The sequence below is a fragment of the Homo sapiens genome, chromosome 6, assembly GCF_000001405.40.
Source record: "Homo sapiens chromosome 6, GRCh38.p14 Primary Assembly".
Lineage (NCBI taxonomy): Eukaryota > Metazoa > Chordata > Mammalia > Primates > Hominidae > Homo > Homo sapiens.
In genome coordinates, this window is record NC_000006.12 from 113,427,988 (window position 1) to 113,454,528 (window position 26,541).

At 38.3% G+C, this 26,541-nt stretch overlaps 1 long non-coding RNA gene across 1 annotated transcript; it reads right to left on the reverse strand.

The window, feature by feature from the left end:
* Window positions 1-552: 552 nt before the first annotated feature.
* LINC02518 (long intergenic non-protein coding RNA 2518) lies at window positions 553-5,460 on the reverse strand. Its single transcript, NR_149098.1, has 2 exons — window positions 5,350-5,460; window positions 553-991 (listed from the first exon to the last, which is right to left on the reverse strand). It is a non-coding gene; the product is annotated as a long intergenic non-protein coding RNA 2518 (long non-coding RNA).
* Between the last annotated feature and the right edge of the window lie 21,081 nt (window positions 5,461-26,541).

The following is a 26,541-nucleotide window of genomic DNA, read 5'->3' on the forward strand; positions in this document are numbered from 1 at the left end:
AGCCTGAGCAAAGTGAAGCCAAAACTGTGGGGGTGGGAGAGGAGAAGGGACAGAAAGAGGGGAAGCAAGATGCAGAGAGGAAGTTATGCTTTAAAGATACACCTGTTTCTGGCCAGGCACGGTGGCTCATGCCTGTAATCCCAGCACTTTGGGAGGCCTAGGCAGGTGGATTACCTGAAGTCAGGAGTTTGAGACCAGCCTGGCCAACATGGTAAAACCCCGTCTCTACTAAAAATACAAAAATTAGCCAGGCATGGTGGCACATGCCTGTAATCCCAGCTACTCGGGAGGCTGAGGCACAAGAATTGCTTGAACCCGGGAGGCGGACGTTGCAGTGAACCGAGATTGTGCCACTGCACTCCAGCCTGGCCGACAGAGTAAGACTCTCTCTCAAACAAAAACAAAAAACAAAACAAAACAAAAAATACACCTGTTTCTGTATCTGTGAAAGCTTTGAGTTAGTAATAATGGCAGCTTCATAAATGGTAGTGGTAGTAGCAGTAGCAGGAGTAACAGTGACATTCAACAGGAAGTTGTCAGTGATGACTATTGTTAACAATTAATGATATCTTTCATTGGCTTTTATATCCCCATCACAATGCAGTATGAGGGTGGGCTGGCCACATTTAAATTAGCAAAGGTTAGGTGAAAAATATCAGAGTTTCTTGCTAGTGTCATCCAATAATTAGTGGAAATGTGTTAGATAACATTGACTTGAGATGAGTGTGCATGAAGTCTGTGACTCTGACATTGCGAGCTGGACAACTTTCCAAGTGTACCATATTTAGAAGTGGGTTTATTCCTGCAGCGGTGTCCTTTTGAGAATCAGTTGAATCATTGCTTCTCGGCCTTTTGGCTAAGATCAAGTGTAGAGAATCAGTTGAATCAGGAAGAGCATCAGGACAGCCAGTACATAGGCTCCTCTGCTGAGTCACCATGTGGCCAAGACTGCCACATACTTAGCTGCAGAGAAGTAAAAATCAATTTCCACCTGTGGTAAGGAAAAACATCCACATTGTAAAGGTCAAATGGAGTCTTCTACGGATCTTAAAACTAAGGTATGTTAACATTAACTAATATATAGTACATATTCACTGCCACATTTGTTCATAAAATATGAGATATTTTCATTTAAGTCACAAATTAATTAATTAATTAATTTATTTATTTATTTATATCAAGAGGTTTTTATAAACCAAAAAAAAAATTCCAGTGTGAGAGGTTAAGTGCACCAGTAAGGTCAATAAATAGTTATCTCCTTTCCATCTTCTCATTTTTTATCATCAAGCCTGACATCTACACTAAACTGGGAAACAATACAACAGACAGTAGTCTCTTTCTCCCTCTCTACCTGACCTCATAACTGCACACATACATAAATGCATTTTCAGATACAACAAAATTAAATACAACAAGAAAGCTGATTTCTTGGAAAATCCAGATTCCAAGATTAATAACTTGATGTGTTTCAAATTACATCTATAGAAATGTGTGGGATTGTTTTGTTGTTGCGTTGTTTGGTTTTGCTTTTGTAAAAGGAACTTTAAGGGACATTTACTAAATATCTGATGAAACTCATTACTCTTTAACCATGAATCTAGTAATGCTTTGATCAAGGCATTCAGTGAAACCCGGTCTCTCTGCTGCCATTAACATCATTTACCACATCTTCACTACCTGTCCTAGGCTATACTTGAGTGAAGACACCCTGAAATTATCATGGGGTGATTTTATGATATTGGTAAAAATTAAATTAGTCGAAGCTTTTTCTTTGTAAGCTAAGCACCCTTTACACCTAACTGTGATGCCTTGCTTCTGAACTGTGATTTCCAGGTAATGACTCTTACTAGAAGGACAATAAAGGTGCAAATGAAGGGCACAACTTGAAGCCTTCAGGGTGTGGAGTTTGGAAGAGATGCTGTTATGAATGAATTGCTGATCCTACCTTACTTCGTTGGAGAGAAAACTCTAGCCCCAACTGTTTGAGAGATTTTGCCCAAGGGCCTCATTAGTAGTAAATTCAGGGTTAAGAATCCAACTCTTTTGCTTTACAAATCAGAATCCTGTCACTTATGTCACGATGATGCAGAAAAACAAACTAAAATTTGTCATTGCAAGATAATGAAACTCTCTCCTGAAAAAGTTATTTTGTACTAGACTGTTGCAATAGTGCAGATCTACTTTGATGTGTCAGGTTTGGCTCAAGCACCGTGCTTCCAGGGAGTTTTCTGGTGATCCCATGCTCTGTACCCTGCACCTACATCTGCTATGGGAGACCCTTCCTCTCCTTCCCCTCTGTATTTGTTAATATGCTCACACACAGCATTATAATCACTTTTGTACACCTACTTTCTCCACTAGATGTTAAATTCATTGAGAATATAATAGTATAAAATGAAGTTTGTTAAATGAGTAACGAATAAAGAAAATGTAATAATTCAATTTTTTTTCTTTTGAGGCAGGGTCTTGCTCTGTTACTCAGGCTAGAGTAGAAATGGCTTCATTAAAGCCTTGAATTTCTGAGCTCAAGTGATTCTCCCACCACAGCCTCCCGAGTAGCTAGGACTACAGGCACACACCATCACATCTAGCTATTTTTTTTTTATTTGTAACTTTTCATAGAGATGAGGTCTCTCCATGCTTCCCAGACTGACCTTGAACCCCTAGGTTCAAGTAATCCTCCTGCCTCAGCCTCCCAAAGTGCTGGGGTTACAAACATGAGCCTTCATGCCCAGCCTATTTTTTTTTATTTCAAAGCAATAAGAATAATAATGCCAGCAATAAGATTGTTGTGAAGTTTAAATGTGATGTTTTAACACTTGTTAAGTGCTTCACATAAGGCATTTAACCATGTCAAGCTACATATTAGTGTCTCAGTAGCATCTATCTATTGAATGCTTACTCAATCTTCTTCTGAAACCATCAAAAATTGTTACAAGCCTTCTATGTACTAATGATTGCACTTTTAGTATCCATTGATTAAGAAAGAATAAATTGGTGCTTGACTTTGCAACTCTGCAAATCTCCAAGGGTCCCTAACCCATAGGTGAGAATCTCATGAACTGTAGATTGTCCCAGGACCTAGAATGAAGCTTATAGTTCATCATGAGAGCCATTATGGCAGAGCAAAACACCCACAACACAAGCAAAGCACAACAGTCTGAGAGCAATAGAGGAAGGGACAATAAAGGAAAGACAGCAGGTCTCATTGCTTCCTACTCTTCAGAATCCCCACAGATTCATAGGTTATTGCCAGTATGCAGCTACTTCACCGTCTGCAATCCCTTGCTCCACAAAAATACCTACTGTTCCTAGGCAGCACCACATACATACTCAACAGTAGCTTGAGGAGGCTGTGTTAAAATAAAATAGACAGCCTGATTATGTTTCTTATGAACCTAAAGAATTCCAACTAGATTTCTTGTACTCTTTTTTTTTTTTTTTTCTAAACCTATTAGTTAGAACTATCCCAGTTTCACATGATGGAAATGCAACCTTAACTGTTTAAACAAACAATATGGAGACAGGTGTAAAGAATGTATTAATTCACTGAAAAGTCCAAAAATAGGATAGGTTCAGACACGACAGTGTCCAAGAACTGAAAAATAAGTCACCAAAACTCAGTTTCTTTCTCATTGTGATTTCCTCCAAAGTAGGTAATACTTTCAAACAGGTTCTCCCCACATGATATAAAGGTTAGCTGATAATAACCACAGCAGAAAGTAAGGTTCTTTCTCCCAGTGGCTTCCCAAAAAAATCCCATAATTGGCAGCCAGGTTTCTATGCTTTAGGTCAAAACAAATCACAGTGATGGAGGGGATATATTGTTTGGACCAACATAGTTTACTTGCGGGATACCAACCATTCTGCTTTATCAGGACTGTCCTGGTTTTAACATTGCAAGTCTTTTGTCCCAGAAAACTTCTCCACTTCAGGCAAACTAGGATGTTAGTCACCCCAGTTTACATTTGTGCTACTAGGCTACACATGTTTTTTCCATACTACGGCACTCAGTGGGCATAATAACAGGGATGAAATGCTAAGTGGGGGGAAAATGTCCTCTACATTGACCTGCGAACTATTGAAATGTGCTGACACGGTGGCCACATGTGCTCATTGAGCACTGAAATACAATGGTCTGCAATTAAGTTTGAGGGCTGAATTAAAATGTGCATTAAATATAAAATACCAACTAGATTTTAAAAAGTTACTAGAAAAAATAATGTAAGAGATATTAATAAATTTATATTTGCATGTTAAAATGATAATGTTTTGAATATAGCTAAATAAAACATTATTAAAAATTAATTTCACCAGTTTCTTCTTCCTTTTTTAATATGGCTATTAGTAAATCTTAAATTACACATGGCTCACATTATATTCCTGTTGGATGGCACTGTGATAAGATTTTTTAAACAAAGTTAATAAAGTATTTATGTCATGTATAGGCGGAGGACATTAAAAAGATATTTTGAGTATGCAGACACCTTAAACAATAAATGATAAACGAATTACGTAGAAAACATCCCAGGCCCACAAAAAATGAAGCACAATAATGTCAAACTCAATACCAAATTCATGTGCTCAATCATTTCTGTCCTCATTGGTGCCAGGACCAGCATAAGTTCTGGGGCTTCAGGCCCAACTGCCAAAAGAGGTTTGTCCTTCAGAAACCCACAGACCAGAAAGGAAAAGAGACAGGTTTAAAAAAAAGTTATACAAAATTATGTTGTGAGTAATACAATAAGTTCCAGCATACACAATCTGTTTTGATTTAATTATAGTAATTACATCATCTACATAATTTTTGGTTTATTCAATCCATACTCTACATGTTCTCTTTCTATTGCATGTCAACTTCCTTGAGAGCAGAAGTATTGCATTAATAAGTTTTATGCAACCAATTGCTTTTCTTTCAGTGCTTCCTTTTTATTTAATGATCAAATGTTTCTTCATCTCATATTTACTCTCCCCAGAGTCAGGTTAGCCCAGTGAAATCTAATGGGCTTAGGGTCAAATATTGCCAAAGTCCCTTACCAACTTGCTTACCTACTGGGAGTGTGTAACCCCTCTGCGCCTCATTTTCCACCAACAACATTGAGAAACAGGATACTCAGTGTCTCTTTGACACATACACACTCATATTCACACACACAAATTCAGATCATTGCTTGCAATTTAGCTTATTATTGTTAGTCATCTGAACATATCAAATACTTCCAAACACTCCAACTCACTGGAGTTTTGCTCCCTCAATATATCTATTTTTAAGCACTGGAAGGGGGTTCTACATGCCAGCAATTTGGTTCCCTCTAAACATCCTTGAAAATGTTTATTTGAAAAGATTACCTTGTTTTCCTTCAGGATTAAGACATGGTCACTGCAGACAGAGATGATTTGGAAAGATGGCAAGCAGTTTTTGATAGCTCCTCAGAGACTCCCCTTGTTAAATGAATATACCTGCAGAAAAAACAAAATGCATTCCAGCCCACACACGTTAGAGACATTTTTCAAACACCTAGATGAGAGAAGATAGCTATTACAAATAACATATTTGTTGGAGAGAGTGAAGAAATCACAAACTGGCTTGGATAAATACTATTAAATGCATACTTTGCCTGCCGATTGCGACAGTTTCCCTCTGGCACTCACTGACAAGCTTGGCTCCAGCTGTAAATTAGGTTGCAAAACTTCCTTGTCAGAGAACTCGCCCTGTGAGGAGGACTCAACCCTGGCTCTGAATCTGCAAGGACAGAAAAATCAATGTGACAGAGAAGCAGTTGCTTGTGTCAGGCCTCACCAAGGAGAGAAAAGGCTTTAAATTAATCATGATTTAAGGATGCTGGCAAAACAGTGCAAAGGCACATTCCTGGTGTCTCTGAGAAAAGGGAAAAAGGAGCCTGGAGCACTTTGCGGATGCTCCCCACAGATCCTGCCCTTCTGTTATAAACAGAATTCAGTGTTTACTGTGGGGATGAGAAAGCACTATGGATCTCGTGTAAACAGATAAAATGCAACAAGACTGATAAAAGTTTGGTGAAGCAGTATTGGTCAGTGTGTAGCATGGGGATAAATGAAAGTTTCATCTTCTCTCCTAGAACCTATGAATGAATTAAATCACCTGGGAGGATTTCAGGTCATATAGTAAATTTTGATGTCCCACAATAAGAAAAAGCTGGCTTGAACCTCTTATCTGGAGAGGGATCAAAAATCGCCTTCTGGAGATGCCTTTTTAAAAAATGTCTCACCTATGTTGGACAATGGGGACATCTGGATGAGGGAAATCAATTTTTTTGCCTGGCTTATGCTTTGGAGCAGTGGCTTTAAAATGTCCAAAAAGACCTACTAAGATTACTGTTAAACTGCCACCATTATATGGTACCAGTGAAGCAGTGAGCCCCCAAGGTAGAGGTAAGACCTACCTCAGATGTCAGTCACTGTTGGCCAAGGAAGATCATGTTAGGAAACATCCACCTCTGCTACCAATTTAGGCAATCGAGTCTCTGCACTAGAGAAAATGACATCCCGGACAGCTGATTTCAGACAGACTTTGTTCCTGTGTCAGGTACCACACCTTTCCAGTTTGGGTACAAGAACTCAAGTCAATGAGCCAGATTCATTTATTTTCATAAGTCGTCTCTGACTACAGGACCAGGGTTGCTCTGGGCCTTCGACTGGCCTCAACTATGTCAGTTGTTTGTCATGATGACACAACCATTATTCTCCAGTTTTTTCCCCTACAAGTGGAGAGACATCCAATGAGGACCAAACAGGATTAGACCCTATTGTTAAAAGTTTCCTTTGGCTTTATTTTATAGTATCATCTCTATCATCATAAATCAATCATGAAACACAAGATGTTCCACCAAGCACTACACAAGCGAACTACATAGATGTTGTACCTACCCACTAGGGCTTGTGATAGAAACGACAGAGCACTTAAACTATGCAAATATGACAAGTCCCTATAAACAACAGAGTACAGAAGTTAAATCAGCAGGAAATAGAAAATACAAGCATATGCAGAAAACTGAGTGGTAGGGATGAACAATACTGGTAAATATTATTACTATACACTTTTAAAAAAATAGGGAAATCTGAAATCCGAGATAAGAAAAAGAAAAAATTTATACAGCTATGCTGCACTAGAAACATGAACAGCTAACACATAGCCTCATTATAATAAAACCTTTTTGGCAACATTGGGTAACAAGCAGCTTCCAAAAACAACACCATTCCAATATTTTATTTAAAAAGAAAAAGAATGTGTAGCCATCAGTGCAATTTTCCTTGAAAATGAACAGGTTTCATTTGTACCAAGGGAAATTACCAGAAAAGCTGTAGACACTCCCTCTCAGGAGATCTTTATAAATAGTATAACTTTTCACCTGTTTTGTGTGGCTCTCTCAGAAAGCAGATAATAGGCAAGGAAATCCTTTCAAAATCCTCTTTCTGTGTCTCATTCTGGGTTATTCTCCAGTTATTCCACCTATTTGCCTTTGCCTCATCTTGCAGTCAACACTCTTGAGAAAGGACAGTTAAAAAGGAAGAAACAAATAGATGTCAGCACTCCTGAGAGAAAGCTAGAATAGCTAATAAATACACAATCCTTTATATATTCCAAGAGCTACTTAGTGCTCTACCGGAGTTTTCAAATAGAAGAAAAATCTGTTGCAATCTTCTTGTCTAGACCAAATCCATAGCCAACAAAAACCTTTCCATATGCCAAGTCCTAAGCTGAACATTTTATATGAGTGGTCTTATTCAATCTCACCACAACCCTATGAAATAGGCATTTTATTATTCCCATTTTATAGATCAGAAAGCAGAGTCTTAGAAAGATTTTCTTGCACAAACTAACAGAAGTGCGATCTGTTGGAGCTAAGATTAGTGTAATTAGTTTCCTATGGCAGCTGTAAAAAAATTATAATAAACAAGTGGCTTAAGATGACACACATTTTTGCTTGGGCCCAGGAGTTCAAGACCAGCCTGGGAAACATAGGAAGACCTCATCTCTACAAAAATAAAAAATTAGCCTCACGTGGTGGTGCACACCTGTAGAACTAGCTACTCAGGAAGCTGAGGCAAGAGGGTTGCTTGAGCCTAGGAGGTCGAGGTTGCAATAAGCTATGACTGTACCACTGCACTCCAGCCTGAGCAACAAAGTGAGACCCCCTTCTCAAAATAAATAAATGCATAAATAAATAACACAGTTTTTTTCTCTTACAATTCTGGAGGTCAGACTGCCAAAATCAGGTACAGTGGGCTAAAATCAAAGAACCAGTAGAGCTCTTTCTGGTGGCTCTGGAGGAAAATCTGTTTCCTTACCTGTGCCAGGAGGGATGCAGTCCTCATTCCTCAGCTTCTGGACTGGCATCACATCCCCTTTCCTCTTCCTGTTCTTTCGTCACATCCCCTTCTCGTCTTCATCAAATATTCCTCTGCCTCCCTCTTATAAGGATATTTGTGATGGCATGTAGGACTTACCTAGATAATCTAAGACAATCTCCCCTTCTCAAAATCCTTAATTACATCCACAAAATCCCTTTTACCATATAAGGCAGCATTCATAGGTTCCCAGAATTAGGACCTGGATACCTTTGGGAGCTGTTACTCTGCCTACCACAATTAGCATTCCAACTATCTCCCATTCTCTTAAGCAGTATACGATCTTTTTTTATAGATGAGTAATTCCTAAAAAGCTGAATGACTGATTGTCAGCAAGTGAATGGGTATCTCATATAAATTAAAGAGGTAAAAGTAAGTCATTTGTATGGATGGTAGCACAGTATTGGCAAGAACCCTGGACTTGCAGTCAGAAAATGGAGTTTGTTTTCATTAACTAGACATGCAAACTTGGACCAAACACTACATCTCTTGGTATCAGGAATAATAAAGAGTGCCAATTCTCGTCAATAGTAGTAGAGAAGGATTCCACAAATCTCTACAAGTTTCATGGGAAATGTTGGACCCAATTATCAGTGTCTGCCCTGCTTAATCCTTAACCGCCAGACCTTTTTTTTTTTTTTTTTTTTTTTTTTTTGAGATGGGGGTCTCCCTATGTTTCCTGGGCTGGTCTCAAACTCTTGGCCTCAAGCGATTCTTCTACCTTGGCCTCCCAAGTGCTGGGATTACAGGTATGAGCCACCACACCCAGCCTCTAGTCTTTTTTAACTCCAATTTTATATGATTCAAGCCAGGATTGCCATCATCTGCATGCTTGAATGCGGCTGGAGAATCCATTTCCAAGATGGCTTCTTCACGTGGCTATTGGTAAGAGGCCTCAATTTCTTGTAACTCAGGGCAATCCATAGGCCACTTGATTGTCCTTACAACATAGTGATTGGCTTCCCCCAGAGCAAATACTCCAGCAGAGAAAGCAAGGCAGAAGCTACAAAATGTTTTATGGCCTAGCCTTGGAAATGACATACCATACCATCACTTCTGTGCTCCATTGGTCATACACATTTATCCTTATACAGTGTGAGAGGGAGCTGCATCAGGTCATGGATACCAGGAGACAGAGTTGATCACCTAGAGGCTGATCGCCACAATAAACCATGTGGACTAGTGCTTCCCAATAGCACTTCCATGTTGGTGTATATCTAGAGACCTCATCAGTGTTGGAGAGAAAAAGTATTCTTTTCCTCACCTATAGGTGGGTTCACGGCCAAGATCAGTAAAACAAAACACAGATTTAAAGCATATGAATTTATCTAGTGTTAAGTTTCATGAGACACAGGAAATTTCAGAGATGAAGACCCAAAGAAACAGGGAAATCTGTGTGTTTTTATGGTTAGTCATCCAGAAGTATCATTGGAAGACAAGTAGGTATGACCTAATGGTAATAAATGGGGGAATTTAGCAAGGCCGGTTTGCTCAGATTCTGCGATATGTTTCTGTATCTTCACTCATTTCTTCTGGGCCTAGGGAGAATGCCTCTGATATGAGGGTCTTACAACCTACTGTAGATGTAGGTCAGAGAATTCTTTTATAGGATGTTTCAGGGGAGAATGTCCAGAGAATGTCAAAGAGACTTTTCCACTTCTGCTGTTTTCTCAAATGTCAAGGTGCCATATTTGGGGGTAGTATTTCCTGAAACCTACCAAAGCCTGCAATTCATTATACTTTGTGATGGTTAAGAGTGCTTTGTGGCTTTCAAGAAGAAGGCTAGAATCATAAAACTTGCATTTTTAAGAAGACCGCTCTGGCAGCAGAGCAGAGTATTGGGGTAATGTGGGTCCCTACTGCCTCTCAGATGCCCAAGACTCTCATGCAAACTGCTATCCTGGCCTTCTAGACCCACATGTGTTCCCAGCCTCTTCTTTCCATGTTTTCCATCTCTAGCTACTGTGACATTCTTATTATTCCCAAGACAGGCCTGGTTCTCTTCAGACCATGCCTTGAATATCCTTCTCTGCTCAAAATGCCACATTTTCTACAAAGTCTCCTCCGAGTCCTGAGATAGAGCAAGTAGCTATTTCTAGTGTTTCCATAGCACTATGTTCATCTCTCTGTCATAGTATTCATCATGATTTTCCTTCAATAATTTGGTTATGTTTTATTCCTCCAAAGATTCTCTGCATCCCTTGATGGCAGGGACCAAGGCTTTGCCCTATGGCCAGAATATATCAGAGCACATAACAGATTTTTTTTTGAATTAATGAATAGACTTCTTTCAATAAGTTATCTTTCTAATACACTTAGTGAACACCAACTAACTAACAGGCACTCTGCTCGATCCCAAGTTACACACTAGTGATCAGTATGGTCAGGTCCCTGCTTCCAGGATGCATAGAGTGTATCCTTATATGATACTTCATCAATGACAATATCCTTGTTCCCTCTCTTTCTCATTCCATTTTCTATTTTCCTACTACCTTTCTGTCTGTTTCCAGCTGTTCTTTTTTCCTTGATGCTTCCCTAAGCATGACATTGCACACATGGGCATTGCTTAGATTGCTTAGTGTCTCTAATAAAGAGATAGCTATAATGGCCAACAAGTTACCCCAGGCCCAGGTTTAGATTATGATCTTCATGTTGCCTGCAAAGCTATGGGTACATGAAAACCTATTCCCATTTCCCAGATATCACTTAGAGAAAAATGAAGGAAAAAATAAGTCCTCCCATGGCTGCATGACTTGAAATTTTTATCTTTTCTTATCTTCACTGTCCCAAGTGAGTCAAATGCTCAAAACTGTTATTGTCTTTTAAAATGTTGATTAAACTAGTAGTGTTAGTGAAGATGATATAACTACCTAGAAGATATATGCTCCATCACTGCAGGAAATTTGGTCTCTTTTTACCTTGATAGACTCACAGCTCCTAGAATATTGCTAGCACATAGCAATGCTCATTGAACATTTTAAAATGTGTTCCTTGATGCTATAATTTCTTTTCCATTCATGCTAGGTTTAAAGATTACCTGAACTATTTTCCATTAAAAATGGCTTATGTGGCTCAGTCAGGTCACTAAACCTAAGTCTTGGTTGTCTTTTCATAAAACAGGGACCTCATTAGTACCTCCCTTGCATGGGAATGTTTCGAGTATAAGAGAAAATGCATGCAAAGCATGTAGTCTAATGTCTTCCTAGACTACAAACTGAAGAAATGCATTGAGGCTGAATCCAGGGTCTATCTAATAATCTTTTATTCTCTGTACACATCGTTTAAAAAAAATGCTTATCTCTGGTTGTCCATTATACACCGAGTAGACTGGCTTTCTTTAAAGTTAGGCTCTTTGAAACACAGGATATATCAAATCAAAACTTATTAAGCACTTGTAATGTACCAGTTATTATGTTAGGTACTAGAAATACAAAGAAAAACTAAGATATATTCCTTTACCTAAAGAACTTTACTATCTCATAAGGAAAATAGACAACGTAATGGAAAATTACAGAACAAGATGTGAGGTTTACTAAGACTGAGACAGAAAAAAGGATCATTTAGGGGGAGCACCCGACCCAGCCTGGGAAAGAAGGAGATTAAGGGAGGTTTTCCAGAGGATGTTAGTTACAAAGAAGTCGGGGTTAGAGGAGCTGCTCTGAGTGGAAGGAGCAGGCTGAACAAAAGAACCAGGAGCAGAAATGACATGATCAATTAAGAGCATGCAGGTGACACGTTTTGACTGGAGCACATAAAGAAAAACAAAATTATGTCAAGAACTAAAGCTGTGCGATCGTGAGCACAAGTCAGGTCTGCATGAAAGGGCTTTGTATGTCATGCTGTCGATTTTCAACTGTGTCTTTATGGCTAATGGAAAACCCATGAGTAATTTTAAGCAAGAGGGTATCATCACCAGCTTTGCACTCTAGAAAGATCACTGCAGTGAAAATGTAAGGATTTTACCTTACATTTTCTGGAAGGATACTAGCAGGGGTTCACAGCCTTTGGTATGCACAGCAATTACCTACAATTCTTTTTCACTAGGTCTGATTGGTTTCAAACATAGGGGATTTGGATGCAGAAAATCTGTGATTTATACTTTGAGAAACAGGAAGAATTAAAAACAAAAACAAACAACAACAAACTATTGCAGTAATCTAGGAGTTGAGTTATGAGGGTGTCCACAAAGGCAATGGTAGTGAGATTGAAGAAAGTAGCTGAACTTGAAAAATATTAACAAGAACCTGGAGATTAACTAGATGTGAAGAAAGGAAGAGGGGAGACAGAGGCCTAGACAACTGGATAGACTTTCCATGAGATGAGAAATCACTGGAAATAGCAGGGCTGGAAAGAAAGCTGATTATTTCTTTCTTCATATATCGAAGAGGAGGTACTTTGAAATATCCCTTTGGAGCTTTACTGTGTTGGGGTTTGAGAGGTCCAATAAACATCACCCCTCTTTCCTACCTGAGTTTGGGACTAATTGAGAGGAATCTAGCATTTGGAAAAGCTATCACCTTTGTTACCCTAAAAGCTAGATCTGAAGATGTGGCTTGGGTACTACAGTCCAGAATTGGGCAGATCTACGCACCTAGTCACAAAGGACAGAGCAGGGTGTGTGCTTCCTGCAGACAGCTGGATTCCAAAAACAAGATGCTGGTCTGGGAAGGTCCAGTTCCTTTCTCTAAACCCACCAAGCAGAAAGACCATATCTTCACCCTAGAAAAGTGGTGTGTAAAGGAGATTAGAAAGACCGGAAGTGTTGCTCTGATGGAAGATCCTTTCACAGTGGAGACACCCCAGAAGTAAGGAAAAAGAATATTCAGTAAGGACTTAGAGAGACATGCATGGGGGCACAAGAGGGCATTCTATGTGAATAGCACTACTAGGAGCTGTGTAAGGGCTGCCTCGGTTTTTTTTTGTTTTGTTTTTAAAAAGGCGTATAATGAGAAGCAACAAGAACAGGTATATATTCATTTCCTATTGCTGCCATAACAAATTACCTGAAACTTAGAGGTTTAAACAATACAAATAAATCATCTTACAGTTCTGAAGGTCCTAAGTCCAACACACTCTCACTGGGTCAGAAATCAAGGTGCCAGCAGAACATGTTCTTTTCTGGAGGCTCTAGAGCGGAATCTTGCCTTTCCCAGCTACATTCTATGGCTACATAGATCCCTACATTCTATGACCCTCGGCCCTCTTCCTTCGTCTTCAAAACCAACAATGGACAGCTGAGTTCTGCTCACATGGCCCTACTCTGACCTCTTTTGCCTTCCTTTTCTACTTTTAAGCACCCTTGTGATTACACTGGGCTCATCCAAATAATCCAGGATAATGTTCCCATTTTAAAGTCAACTGATTATCAACTTTAATTCCCCTTCCCATGTAACCTAACATATTCTCAGTTTCCAGAGATTAGGACAGGGACACGTCTGGGAACCGAGGGAGGACTGGGGGAGGGAGGCATTGTTCTGCCTACCACAAAGCACTTTTCTAAAACATGGGAAGCACCAGCTTTTGTAGGTGTTCTAGGAACAGTATTTGGATGTACTTCACGGTGAAGAAAATAACTGGGCTATGAGAAGAAATGTCACTAAAAGTGCTATTGCCTGGCTCATAAGTTACCTCAGGAGCAGGAAACTCAACAGAAATCACTTAAAGTCACAGACACACGGATGTAGCTTTGAAAACTGTGAAAGGGGATAACCCATAATTTCTTTTTTGATAAAATGACATGCCCCAGGGGTGAGCTAGGTTTGCTTTGACAAGAAAGTAAACAAGGAGCAAGTGAAAGGAAATGAAAAATATATTACCAAACTCTCATCTTTCAGCTGCTGATGCTGCCTATTGTCAGCTGCAGCAGAGTGTAGAATGGATTTGAAACTGCCACTCATACCATTAGGTGTGTACCTGATTCAGCTCTAGGTCTCCATCCTCATAACAGTTCTCCTGTAAAAGGAAATAAATAATTCTGCCTTTAGTTTGTTTCTGTATAGTGTTAGTAAAAAAAGTCAGGTTCTGCTTCATTAAGGTCTCTCTTTTTAGTTTGGTAAAACCTTTTGCTTCAAAATGTTTGCTTACACTCTCATTCTTGACTTTGAATCGTGTAAATTGCATGAATTTCCTAATGTAATTACAGATAGGGCACAACTTCCAGCCTCCCAACCTCCACTACATGAGAAGGTCCACAAATTCTATCCCCCAGAAAGCAAATAAAAAGCTGAACAAAAGAATAAAAATAATCACAAAAAAATTGTACACAAATATTTCTCATGAACACAGATACAAAAAATCTTTAACAAAACATGAGCAAACTGAATCTAGAAACACATAATTGATTTTCAATATTAAACTCAACTTACATTCCTAGGATGCATTTGGTCATAATATACAATTCAACTAATGTAATATACCATATCAGTAGAAAAAAGGACAAACATCACTTTATTATCTCAATAGATGCAGAAAAGAATATTTGGAAAAAAAAACCTTAAAACTATTACCTTCGTGTGTTATAAAATGAATATTTGTATCTCTCCAAATTTCATATATTGAACCCTAATCCCTAACATGAAGGATTTGAATGTGGAGTCTTTAGGGGGTGATTAGATTGTAAAGGGGGAGCCCTTATAAATGGAATTATAGTAGTTCCCTATTTTCTATGGTTTAGCTTTCCACGGTTTCAGTTACCAGCAGTACAACACAATCAGATATTTTTTGAGAGAGACATATTCACCTTATTTTTATTAAATTATATTGTTATTTTATTATTAGTTATTATTAGTTATTGTTAATCTCTTATTGTGCCTAATTTATATATGAAACTTTATTGTAGGTATGTAGGGGGTTAGGAAAATATATCATATATATGGGGTTCAGTACTATCTATGGTTTTAGGCATCTACTAGGGGTCTTGGAACATATTCCCTGTAGATAAGGAGGGACTACTGCAGTGCCCTTCTAAAAGAGACCTCAGAGACTCCCTTGGCCCTCCCACCATGTGAGATTACAGTGAAAAGGCCACCGTCTCTGAATCAGAAAGCAGGCCCTCACCAGATATGAAATCTCTGGCACCTTGATCTTTGATTTCATAGCTCCCAGAACTGTCAGAAAAACATTTCTGTTGTTGATAAGCAACTCAATCAATAGTATTTTGTTATACCAGCCCAAATGAATTAAGGTATCTCATATAATATGCAAAAACTAACTCAAAACTTATCACAAACCTAAATGGAACAGGTAAACTAGAAAGTTTCCAGTAGAAAATATAGAAGAAAATCTTCATGCCTTTGCATTACTGATAGAGTTCTTAGTCACCAAAATCACAATCCATAGAAGAAAAAAACTAACAAATTGGACTTCATCAAAATTTAAAACTTTTATACCTCCTCAAAATTAAAGACACTTGCACTTTATTTTTGAAAATAAAAAAGGAAAGCCAAAAAGTAGAAGAAAATATTTGCAAATCATATATTTGATAAAGGACTTATACCAGGCAACATAGCAAGACCTCATCTCTAATTAAAAAATAAATAAGGCTGACATGGTGGCACACATCTGTAATCCTAGTACTATGGGAGGCCAAGGCGGTTGGATCACTTGGGTCAGGGGTTCGAGACCAGCCTGGCCAATATGGTGAAACCCCATCTCTACTAAAATTACAAAAATTAGCCAGGTGTGGTGGCACATGTCTGTAATCCCAGCTACTCAGGAGTCTGAGACATGAGAATCACTTGAACCTGGGAGGCAGACGTTGGCTTGAGCCAAGACCATGCCATTGCACTCCAGCCTGGGTGACAGAGTGAGACAGTCTCAAAGAAAAAACAAAAAAAGTTTCTACCACTCCGTAGGTTTCCTGTTCACTCTGACAACAGTTTCTTTTGCTGTACAGAAAGCTCTTTAGTTTAATTAGATCCCATTTGTCAATTTTTACTTTTGTTGCAATCGCTTTCGGTGATTTCATCATGAAATCCTTGCCCATGATTATGCCTTGAGTGGTATTGCCTAGATTTTTTTCTAGGGCTTTTTGTTGTTGTTGTTGTTGTTGTTGTTGTTGTTGTTGTTTTCCTTTTTTTGAGACAGGGTCTCACCCTGTTGGCTGACTGGAGTGCAGTGGTGAGATCTTGGCTCACCCCAATCTCTGCTCCCCCAGCTCAAGCAATTCTCCTGTCTCAGCCTCCCAAGTAGCTGGGATTACAAGCGTGCACCACCACGCCCAGCTAATTTTTGTATTTTTAGTAGAGACAGGGTTTTGCCATGTTGGCCAGGGTGGTCTCAAACTCCTGACCTCAGCTGATCGGCCCACCTTGGCCTCCCAAAGTGCTGGCATTACAGGTGAGAGCAACCGCGCCCAGCCTTCTTCTAGGGTTTTTATAGTTTTGGGTTTTGTATTTAAGTCTTTAATCCATCTTGAGTTAATTTTTATATAAGGTGTAAGGAAGGGGTTGAAAATCAGATGGTTGTAGATGTGCAGTCTTATTTCTGAGTTCTCTATTCTGTTTTATTGGTCTATATGTCTGTTTTTGTGCCAGTACCATGCTGTTTCGGTTATTGTAGCCTTGTTGTAGTTTGAAGTCTGGCAGTGTTATGCCTTCAGCTTCTTACTTTTTGCTTAGGATTGTCTTGGCTATAAGAGTTCTTTTTTGGTACCATATGAATTTTAAAATAGTTTCTTCTAAATCTGTGAAGAATGTCAATGGTCGTTTAATGGGAATAGCATTGAATTTATAAATTACTTTCGGCAGTATGGCTATTTTCACGATATTAATTCTTCTTATCCATGAGCATGGAATGTTCATCTGACAAAGGTCCAATATCCAGAATCTACAAGGAACTTAAAGAAATTTACAAAAAAAAAAAGCCATTAAAAAGTGGGCAAAGGACATAAACAGATATTGCTCAAAAGAAGACATTCATGCAGCCAAGAAACATGAAAAAATGCTCAACATCGCTAATTAGAGAAATGCATATCAAAACCACAATGAGATACCATCTCATGCCAGTCAAAAAGTCAATTATAAAAAAGTCAAAAAATAACAGATGCTGGCGAGGTTGCGGGGAAATAGGAATGCTTTTACACTGTTGGTATGAATATAAATTAGTTCAACCATTGTGGAAGATGATGTGGCAATTCCTCAAAGATCTAGAACCAGAAATACTATTTGATCCACATCCCATTACTGAGCATATACCTAAAGGAGTATAAATCATTCTATTACAAAGATACATGCACGTGTTTGCTCAGTGCAGCACTATTCACAATAGCAAAGAAATGGAATCAACCCAAATGCCTATCAACTGTAGACTGGATAAAGAAAATGTGGTACAGGCTGGGTGCAGTGGCTCATACCTGTAATCCCAACACTTTGAGAGGCCAAGATGGGTAGATCACCTGAGGTCAGGAGTTCAAGGCCAGCCTGGCCAACATGGTGAAACCCCGTCTCTACTAAAAATACAAAAATTAGCCAGGTGCAGTAGCACATGCCTGTAATCCCAGCTACTCAGGGGGCTGAGGTAGGAGAATCACTTGAACCTGGGAGGTGGAGGTTGCAGTGAGCCAAGATCATGCCATTGCACTCCAGCCTGGATGACAGAGTAAGACTCCATCTCAAAAAAAAAAAAAAAGAAAAAGAAAAAAAAGAAAAGAAAAGAAAAGAAAAGAAAAAAAGAAAATGTGGTACATATACACCATGGAATACTATGCAGCCATAAAAAGGATCGAGATCATGTCCTTTCCAGGGACATGGATGGAGCTGGAAGCTGTTATCCTCAGCAAATTAATGCAGGAACAAAAAACTAAACACCACATGTTCTCACATATAAGCTGGAGCAGAACAATGAGAACACATGGACACAGGGAGGGGGACAACACACATTGGGGCCTGTTGGGGGGTAGGGTCAGGGGAGGGAAAGTATCAGGAAATAGCTAATGCATGCTGGGCTTAATACCTAGATGATGTCTTGACAGGTACAGCAAAACGCCATTACACACATCTACCTATGTAATGAACCTGCATATCCTGAACATGTACCCTGGAACTTAAAATACAAATTAAAATTAATTATAAAATAAATAAAACTTTAAAAATTTAAATGCACACTTACTATATGACATAGCAATACCTAGGAATATGTGTAAGAAAAATAAAAACCTGTCACAGAGACATGTAGGTAAATATTCACAGCAGCATTATTCATAATAGCCAAAAACTGGAAATAATTCAAATGTCCATCAATTGGGAAATGGACTTTTTTAAGTGCCATATCCATACAATGGAAGGTTATTCAGCAATAAAAATGATAGCACTACCATACATGCTACAGTGTAAATTAACCTCAAAGAAGAAGTCAGGTGCAAAAAGCATAATTACTCTGTAATTCATTTATATAAAATGTTCAGAAAAAGCAAATTTATAAAAAGAAGAGAAATCAGTATTAGCCTAGAGGTGAATGTGGAAGCAGTGATTAACTATAAATGAGTACAAGAAAACTTTAGAGGTAATGGAGATGTCCTAAAACTGGAATGTGATGATGATAGCTCTGCTGTATAAATTTATTACAAATTATTGAATTGTATACTTATAATAGGTAGACTTTAAGATACATAAATTATACTTCCATAAAGCTGTTAATAACAAAAAACTACATTACATTGGAAGGTATCTGGACATAAACTACTTGATAAGCAAGAAGTCTACTGATTTTAAAGACATCCCCAGAATTTTAAAATTCTGGCCGAATTTTTGGTTTCTCTTTATGTAGTCCCAATCAAGGTAATGGAGAGTTAACTTAGTTTCCCCTATTATGAACCCATCTTAAATGTGGAAGGGAAGAAAAAGAGTGAGTCAGCTCTCACATGACCCAAACTTGTTGCTTCGTCTCTAAAAGTGAGTCATGAAGGCAACTTTTTCCTTGCCTATGAACGTGTTTGAGGAAAAACTATGTGCTTGGTTTAGCATCATTGACCACAATAATTATAGTGCATGAGAATTTATGTTGTATATAAGACTGCTAGATTGGTGGTGGGGGTTTAAGGGACTCAATGCCTGAGGTCTAAGTCTTTAATCCACAAAAAAAAATGCACTTTTTTTTAATGGTCTAAACTAACAATTATGGGTTGTAGAAGTGTTTGTGCTTGTTCAGATGTTCCATGACCAAGAATTTGAAGATGTACATTTTCCAAGTAAATCCAGTACTGAGGAAGAGTGTTAAATTGTCATATTGGAGAGCTGTTTCTATTTTAATGAGTCACATCTCTAGTAAAGACAGGTCTTTCTTGTAAGACAGACCAAGTCTGCTCAGAAGTTAAGAAAGAAGGTATGGTTCACGTTCTTGGAGGGGGAAAAATGTTTTCACTTATGATTTGAACTCCATCACTAAATTATTACTGATGGTCACAGAGCAACTGTTAGACTACATATTGGTCACCAATTTGATTTCACACTAACGGTAATAGCACAAAAGTTCCCAAAGGCTCACACAGAGCAACAGAGCAATCACATCTCTTAAGCAGTTACTACTTAAGCTGTTAATTTTGCCACTTTTTTCAAAATCAGTACGGCACCAAAGCCAGTATTTCAACCCAATTTGAGGCACAGGATCAGATACATAAAACTATTTACGCTGCTGCGCATCATCTATACAATATCAAGGCTAAAAAGAACAGCTTTTAAGTCTGATATATTACAGTCTTTTTGAGACAACAGCTTCCCAATTTTTATTTTATAGATTATTACAGTGGAAGCAGGTAGTCCTTTCATATAACTTCCCATATGCCTAAACGTTTATTTTATTTCTGTTCCTCAAAGTGAACAAAAAACATAAAGAATAGAGGAGTATTTAATTATACATCTAGATCACCTAGTAGCTGTAGTAATGTTAGAAAAGATAATTTTGAGGTCTTAATTAGTGGTACGAAAAGCCATAAGAGGATAGAATTCCCTCATTTCTGGTCCTTTTCCTCCAATCCAGAACCACAACTGAGCAACTAAAGAAGCTTAGCTCAAATTTTATACGGCAAAACTCCAAACCCATGCAAAGTTTGTCTGAATTTAAGTTCAGCTACTATTCTCATCCTATCTGCAATCAAGTGAAGTCAGTTTCTATTGGCCCGTGGAGGCTCAGACCTACACAGAACCCAGAACCAGTCATCACCCAGGCAGAAAGTGGATCAGAGGCCCGTAGTTGAGCCAAGCTTTGCTTCATGAGGCTGAAACCATGGCACCATCACTTATACGTCCATCAGGACTAGGTACATTGTGCCTACATTGACCTCTGGGAATTTCTCTTCTGTCAACCCAGAGTTCGTCAGCTTGGATCTTTTCCTCCCAACACTTTAGAACTCTGGTAACAACAGACATTTTGCATGCTTTCCCAATTATTTGGACCTCTAACCTTTTCTAATCTTTCAGAATCCTCCCTATACTATTTATTTCTGAGACTACTTTTTCCTGGCTTTTTTCCCAGTGACCCCATACTCTGTGGCTGTGCCATGGTAAAAAAGGAATCATTGTCACTGCAACAAGGACTTTAGTTCTATTGCACCATGGCTCCCTATAAAGCCAGCAGTAATTTGGCACCATGAGGCTTTAATTTAAATTCGTATTCCATGATTTCAATTTAGCAAACTTGCTGAGGCCCTCCTCTATGCTAGATGCTCTGTGAAAATGACTACCTGCACCTAGCCCCCAAATTCACAACCACTCCCCTCCCCAAGATTTTTTGCTTTTAAATTAGACATGAGGAAGAGTTAGTAATAAGGGAAACAGCTGACCCTGAATGTCTCACCCTCTGAAGCATGAACCCAAGGTTTTCTCTGACTTATGAATCATATTTAAGATGACAATACTCTTTGAAGTTATTTTTCTTGAAGTATTAGCAAGAGGCATGTCCTAGGCTTCTCAGAGAGGTTTTGTGTAAATTAATGCTGCTTCTGGAATACATCAAAGGAAGTATAAATGCACAAATCATATCAGAGTCTCTCTCCAAGGTGTTTACTTCCCAAGCATCTAGACCAGCACTGTCCAACAGAAATAGAATGTGAGCTACACATGCAATATTTAATTTTTTAGTAGCACCATTTAACATAGTAAAATGAAACAGGTAAAATAAATTTCAGTAACACATTTAATTTAACTTATTATGTTCAAAATTTTATCGTTTCAATTAAGTCTTTAAAATCCCGTGTGTATTTTACGCTTACAGTACATCTCAGTTCAGCCAAGTCACGTCTCAAGTGCTCAATAGCCACGTGGGCCTAATGGCTACCACATTGGACAGCACAGTCTCTGTTTAGTTAGTGAAAGCCACCCAAAACAAAGCTATAGACTTAGAATAATTCTTTTGAATTGTTAAACTTTTGTAATTGACTAAACATGGTCCAATAGCCATGCCATTAGATCTTGTTTAGAGGCAAGCAAACTGTTGACCTGAAATAATGTTTTTGAATCATCAAAGCTTACAGAATTGTATAATTGATGAACTTGGGTCAATGACTTGCTTAGATTTTGTCCAAATGTGAAAGGTTTTCCATTTCAAAAAACTGTAGCTATGAGAATTTAAGATGTCACGATTAATTGGGTAAGGATTTTGATACTGGGCTATTTCACTTTATGAACAGAGCTGTCTCAAATCCACCAAAATGACTTATGATGAGAATCTCTATACCAGCAGCAGAAAACAAGCTAACAATGCTATTGAAGTCAGAATGTATCATTTGCATATCTTGTGACATGTCTGTGGTAACACTTTGCCCTTGGCAAAGGTCAGAGACACAGACATGGAGCCTCAAGGACTGGTCTCCAATCTCCTTATAATTAGCTTTGCAGACATGAAATTCCTGACCCTGAAAAGAGAATGCCTCCCTCCACTGAGAAACAGTATCTAGTCTCTTCCTGTGTGAGAATGTTTTGCTTCAATGTAAACAAACTAAAGAGTTGAAAAATGAGGTGCAAATATGCTCTCTTCCAAGTAAACAACCAAGCCAGTTAGAATATGATTTTCCTGGAATGTGTTGTGAATTCCAAAGGCAGGCACACACTTGTCAAAAGAACAGAACGTCCTATGATGGATATGGACTGAAGTGGAATACATTCATGCATAAATTCCACAAATCCAACCATGCATTTACATTTTTATAATGTTTACATATATATATATATATATATATATATTCAAATATTTTCTGGATCTTAAGGCATAGCAAGTGTTTATTTTAAAGAACTTTGTTTTGTGGATCATTAGAACCAATCTTATTTGGTAGCATCACTGAATATTACATCACCTTCTAACATCTCTGACGCCTGTCTTGCTTTTTGTTTTTTTAACAAGAGAGATACAACACAATGACTAAAAAGAGAAATGCTTCCCAAACTACTTAAGTATCTTAGAACAATTTTAATTAAGTATGGTTTATTAAGCTACTAAACATCCAGCCAGATAGGTATATGTCCCCTGCTACTTATATTCCTAACTGGAAGGGCTTTTGTTAGTGTTACCCTTTGAGTTGGTTCTCAGGGCTGGGGGTAGGGTGAGGTAAGTGAAGCATTCACTTCAGGTGCAAAATTTGAGGAGGCATCAAAAAACTCAATAATCAAGAAAAATAATGTTTCTAATACAACATTTTTTAAAAATCAAAATTAATGCAAAAAAATATGATGAAAAAAATAACAAAACTTTAAATAAAGACAAAATGTGACCCTGCACAACTCTGCCTCAACTCCTTCACCCTAGACCTAGCTCTGTTCAACCCCCTGCTTTGGAGGGAAGAGTGAATGGTCTGTGGGTGGATTGCAGACAAGGAATCAAGCGGTGTGCTCTTCCTTCAGAGTTGAGCAACCTGCTCTGTTCCTCTATACTGTGAGCACCATCTGGTTAGGCCCCCACTATGGGAGGGCTTGCAGCTGGCCAGAGCTGCCATTGTCTCTAAAGTACAATCATATGTCTTTCAACAAAAGCGACACTTTCTGAGGAGTGCATCATTAGGTGATTTCGTTATTGTACAAACATAAGTAAACATCAGTGTACTTACAGAAACCTAGTTGTATAGCCTACTATGTATCTAGGCTATATGGGATAGCCTATTGCTCCTAGGCTACCAAGCTGTATAGCATGTTACCGTCCTGAATTCTCTAGGCAATTGTAACATAATGGGGAAGAATTGTGTATATAAGCATATCTAAACATAGAAAAGGTACAGTAAAAATATGGTATAAAAGATAAAAATTTGTGTGCTTATATAGGACACTTACCATGAATGGAGTTTGCAGTACTGGAAGTTGCTCTGGGTCAATGTTAGTGTGAAACTGACCCAGTTGTCCCATAGAGCTGACGTTTATGGTTTCCTGGACTAAACATAGAAATGGATCCACCCAGTTTTAAAACTTGAGAAAATTATACTTGTTTTGTCTGAGTTCCTTTCTCTGGAAACCAACCATCAGACCTCCCAGATAGTAGCAAGGAGTTGAAACTCACCAAATCACTTCATTTGGACAGTGAGATGTCAGACCCCTCACCCCCATCATGATTGCCTAACTGACCACCTGCTTTCCATTGACCAATTCCTCTTACTTATCCCTCCCCAATTCCTGTTTTCCCACACAGGATTACATTTCTTCCCTGCTATATAACCCCTAATTTTACTGGTCCAGAGAGGTGGATTTGAGACTGATCTTCCATCTCCTTGGCTGTAGCACTTAATTGAAGTCTTCTTCCTTGGCGATATCCATTGTCTCAGCGATTAGCTTTCTGTGCGGTGAGCAGCAGGACCTAACCTAGACTGCACCCCTGATGTTTTGGTAACAAATGAGTGGTGAGTTAATGTGAAGGCCTAGGACATTACTGTACACTACTGTAGACTTTATAAACATTGTACACCTAGGCTAAACTAAGTTTATTTTAAAATATTTTTCTTTCTTCAATAATAAATTAACCCTAGCTTACTATAACTTTTTTATTTTATAAACTTTTTTATTTTTAAAATTTGTTTATTCTTTTGTCAAAGCACTTAGTTTAAAACACAAACACATTGTACAGCTGCACAAAATTTTATTTCCTTATATCTTTATTGTATAAAGTTTTTTCCATTTAAAAAACTGTACTTTTTAAACATTTTTGTTAAAAACTAAGACACAAACACACACATTAGCCTTGGCCAACACAGGGTCAGGATCATCAATATCATTGTCTTCCACATCCATATCTTGTCCCACTGGAAGGTCTTCAGGAACAATAGCATACATGGAGCTGTTATCTCCTATGACAACAATGCCTACTGGAACACCTCCTGAAGGATCTGCCTGAGGCTGTTTTATAGCTAACACTTAAAAAAAATAACTAGAAGGAGTATACTCTAAAATACCAATAACAAATATGTTTAGTAAATACATAAACCAGTAACATAGTCATTTATTATCATTACCAAGTATTATGGACTGCACATAATTGTATGTGTTATATATACCTTTATAAGATTGGCAAGGCAGTAGGTTTATTTACACCAATATCAGCACAAACATGGGAGTAATGCATTGCACTATGACTTTATGATGGCTACAATGTCAAAAGCAATGGAAATTTTTCAGCTCCATTAGAATCTCATGGGACCAATGGTATATACACTGTCTGTCATCGACTGAAACATTATTATGTGGCACATGACTATATTAGCAAGCCCACCTTGTTTAGAGACCAAGCATCAGGTTCCCCAACAGTCTTGGTGAAAACAGCAACATTTTCCTCTCCATCTGCCTAACTTTTGTGGATGTGTATGTCTCTTAATAGATTCTGAATTCAGGCAAGTGAAAAGGGGTAGTTCGTTCTGAATCCTCTAACATCCAGTCATATAATACTGGAACTCCTGCACATTCTTGTAGTCATCATAACAAATAGTCTTATGTTATACAGATGCTGTGCATCAGTCACTCTTTCCTATGTGTTTTAGGATGATAGTGGTAGGGCCATTCAAATTCCTGTATCTTAAGTTCACCAGAAATAAACTAAAAATATTCTTTATTTCCTCTGGGTTTGCTTCTGTTTCATTCTGTAGAGAATACTTGAAAGAAGAACTAGGCATATTTTAGTTAGACCCTAAATGATCTTAGGCCTACTTCTCATGACCTTCAGACAGAGCCCATCACTGCCACCAATTGTCACTAGTTGTTGACTTCCCAAACATAACACAATATGAATTGCATCAAACTCTGTCTTCAATTGGCTTGTAGTCTAAAATAGGCCAAACCAAATCATATAGGCTGCATGGAAAATGGAAAATGTATTGAATAATTAATTAAGGGCACAGAAATATCTTCTTCATAAAGAAAATGAATTCTATTGCTACATGTCCTGATTTGAGTCTTTATTTCACAAGGTAGAAATAAGACGGGGACCCATAATAGTGGCATTCCCAGAGAAGAGGGGCATGATACAACAGTAGTTTTATGCAGTAAGAACAATTAAATGTGCACAAAATAATAAGCGATGTTTTTCAAAATTTTGATGCCTGAAGAGAAGAGGAAAGGGGCAGAATTGGAGTGCACTTGACAGAGAGGAGAGAGAATGACCTGAGACCAGGTAGGTGGGAGATAGGAAGACACTGTCAGAAAACAAATACCAGGCTCCAGAAATTATCGGCAAAAAGGGACATAACTTCCTTTGTCCATAGCCAGCCACCTGCTTTCACATGTACCTTTAAACTCCCACACATCCTTCATCACTTGCTTACTAATGCCTGGAATTCCTTTATCTGCAAGTGAAGGTATTTATAAAAAGTCAGATGAAGAATCATTAAATTCAAATATGTATTGACATCACGAATGAAACTCAATCACAATAAAATGTAGGCAGCTAATCCATCATTAAACTCCTCATTCTAATGAGGCAAAGACTGAAATATGAAGATGAAGATATGCATGCACTGGTTACATTTGTATCCTCAGTACCTAGCACAGCATCGGGAATTAGCATGTGCTAGATAAATATTTGTTGCATGAAGAAGTCAAGGAAGGAATGGAAATGGGGCAAGATAGAGAGAGGGTTGATGGGGGGTGCTGTGAAAAAGCAGGGAAGCAAGAGAGTAAAAGTGTGTGCGTGGACACAGATGAAAGGAGAATGGCTGGCCCATCGTGACACGGATTTTTCCAGGTGCTTTGTATT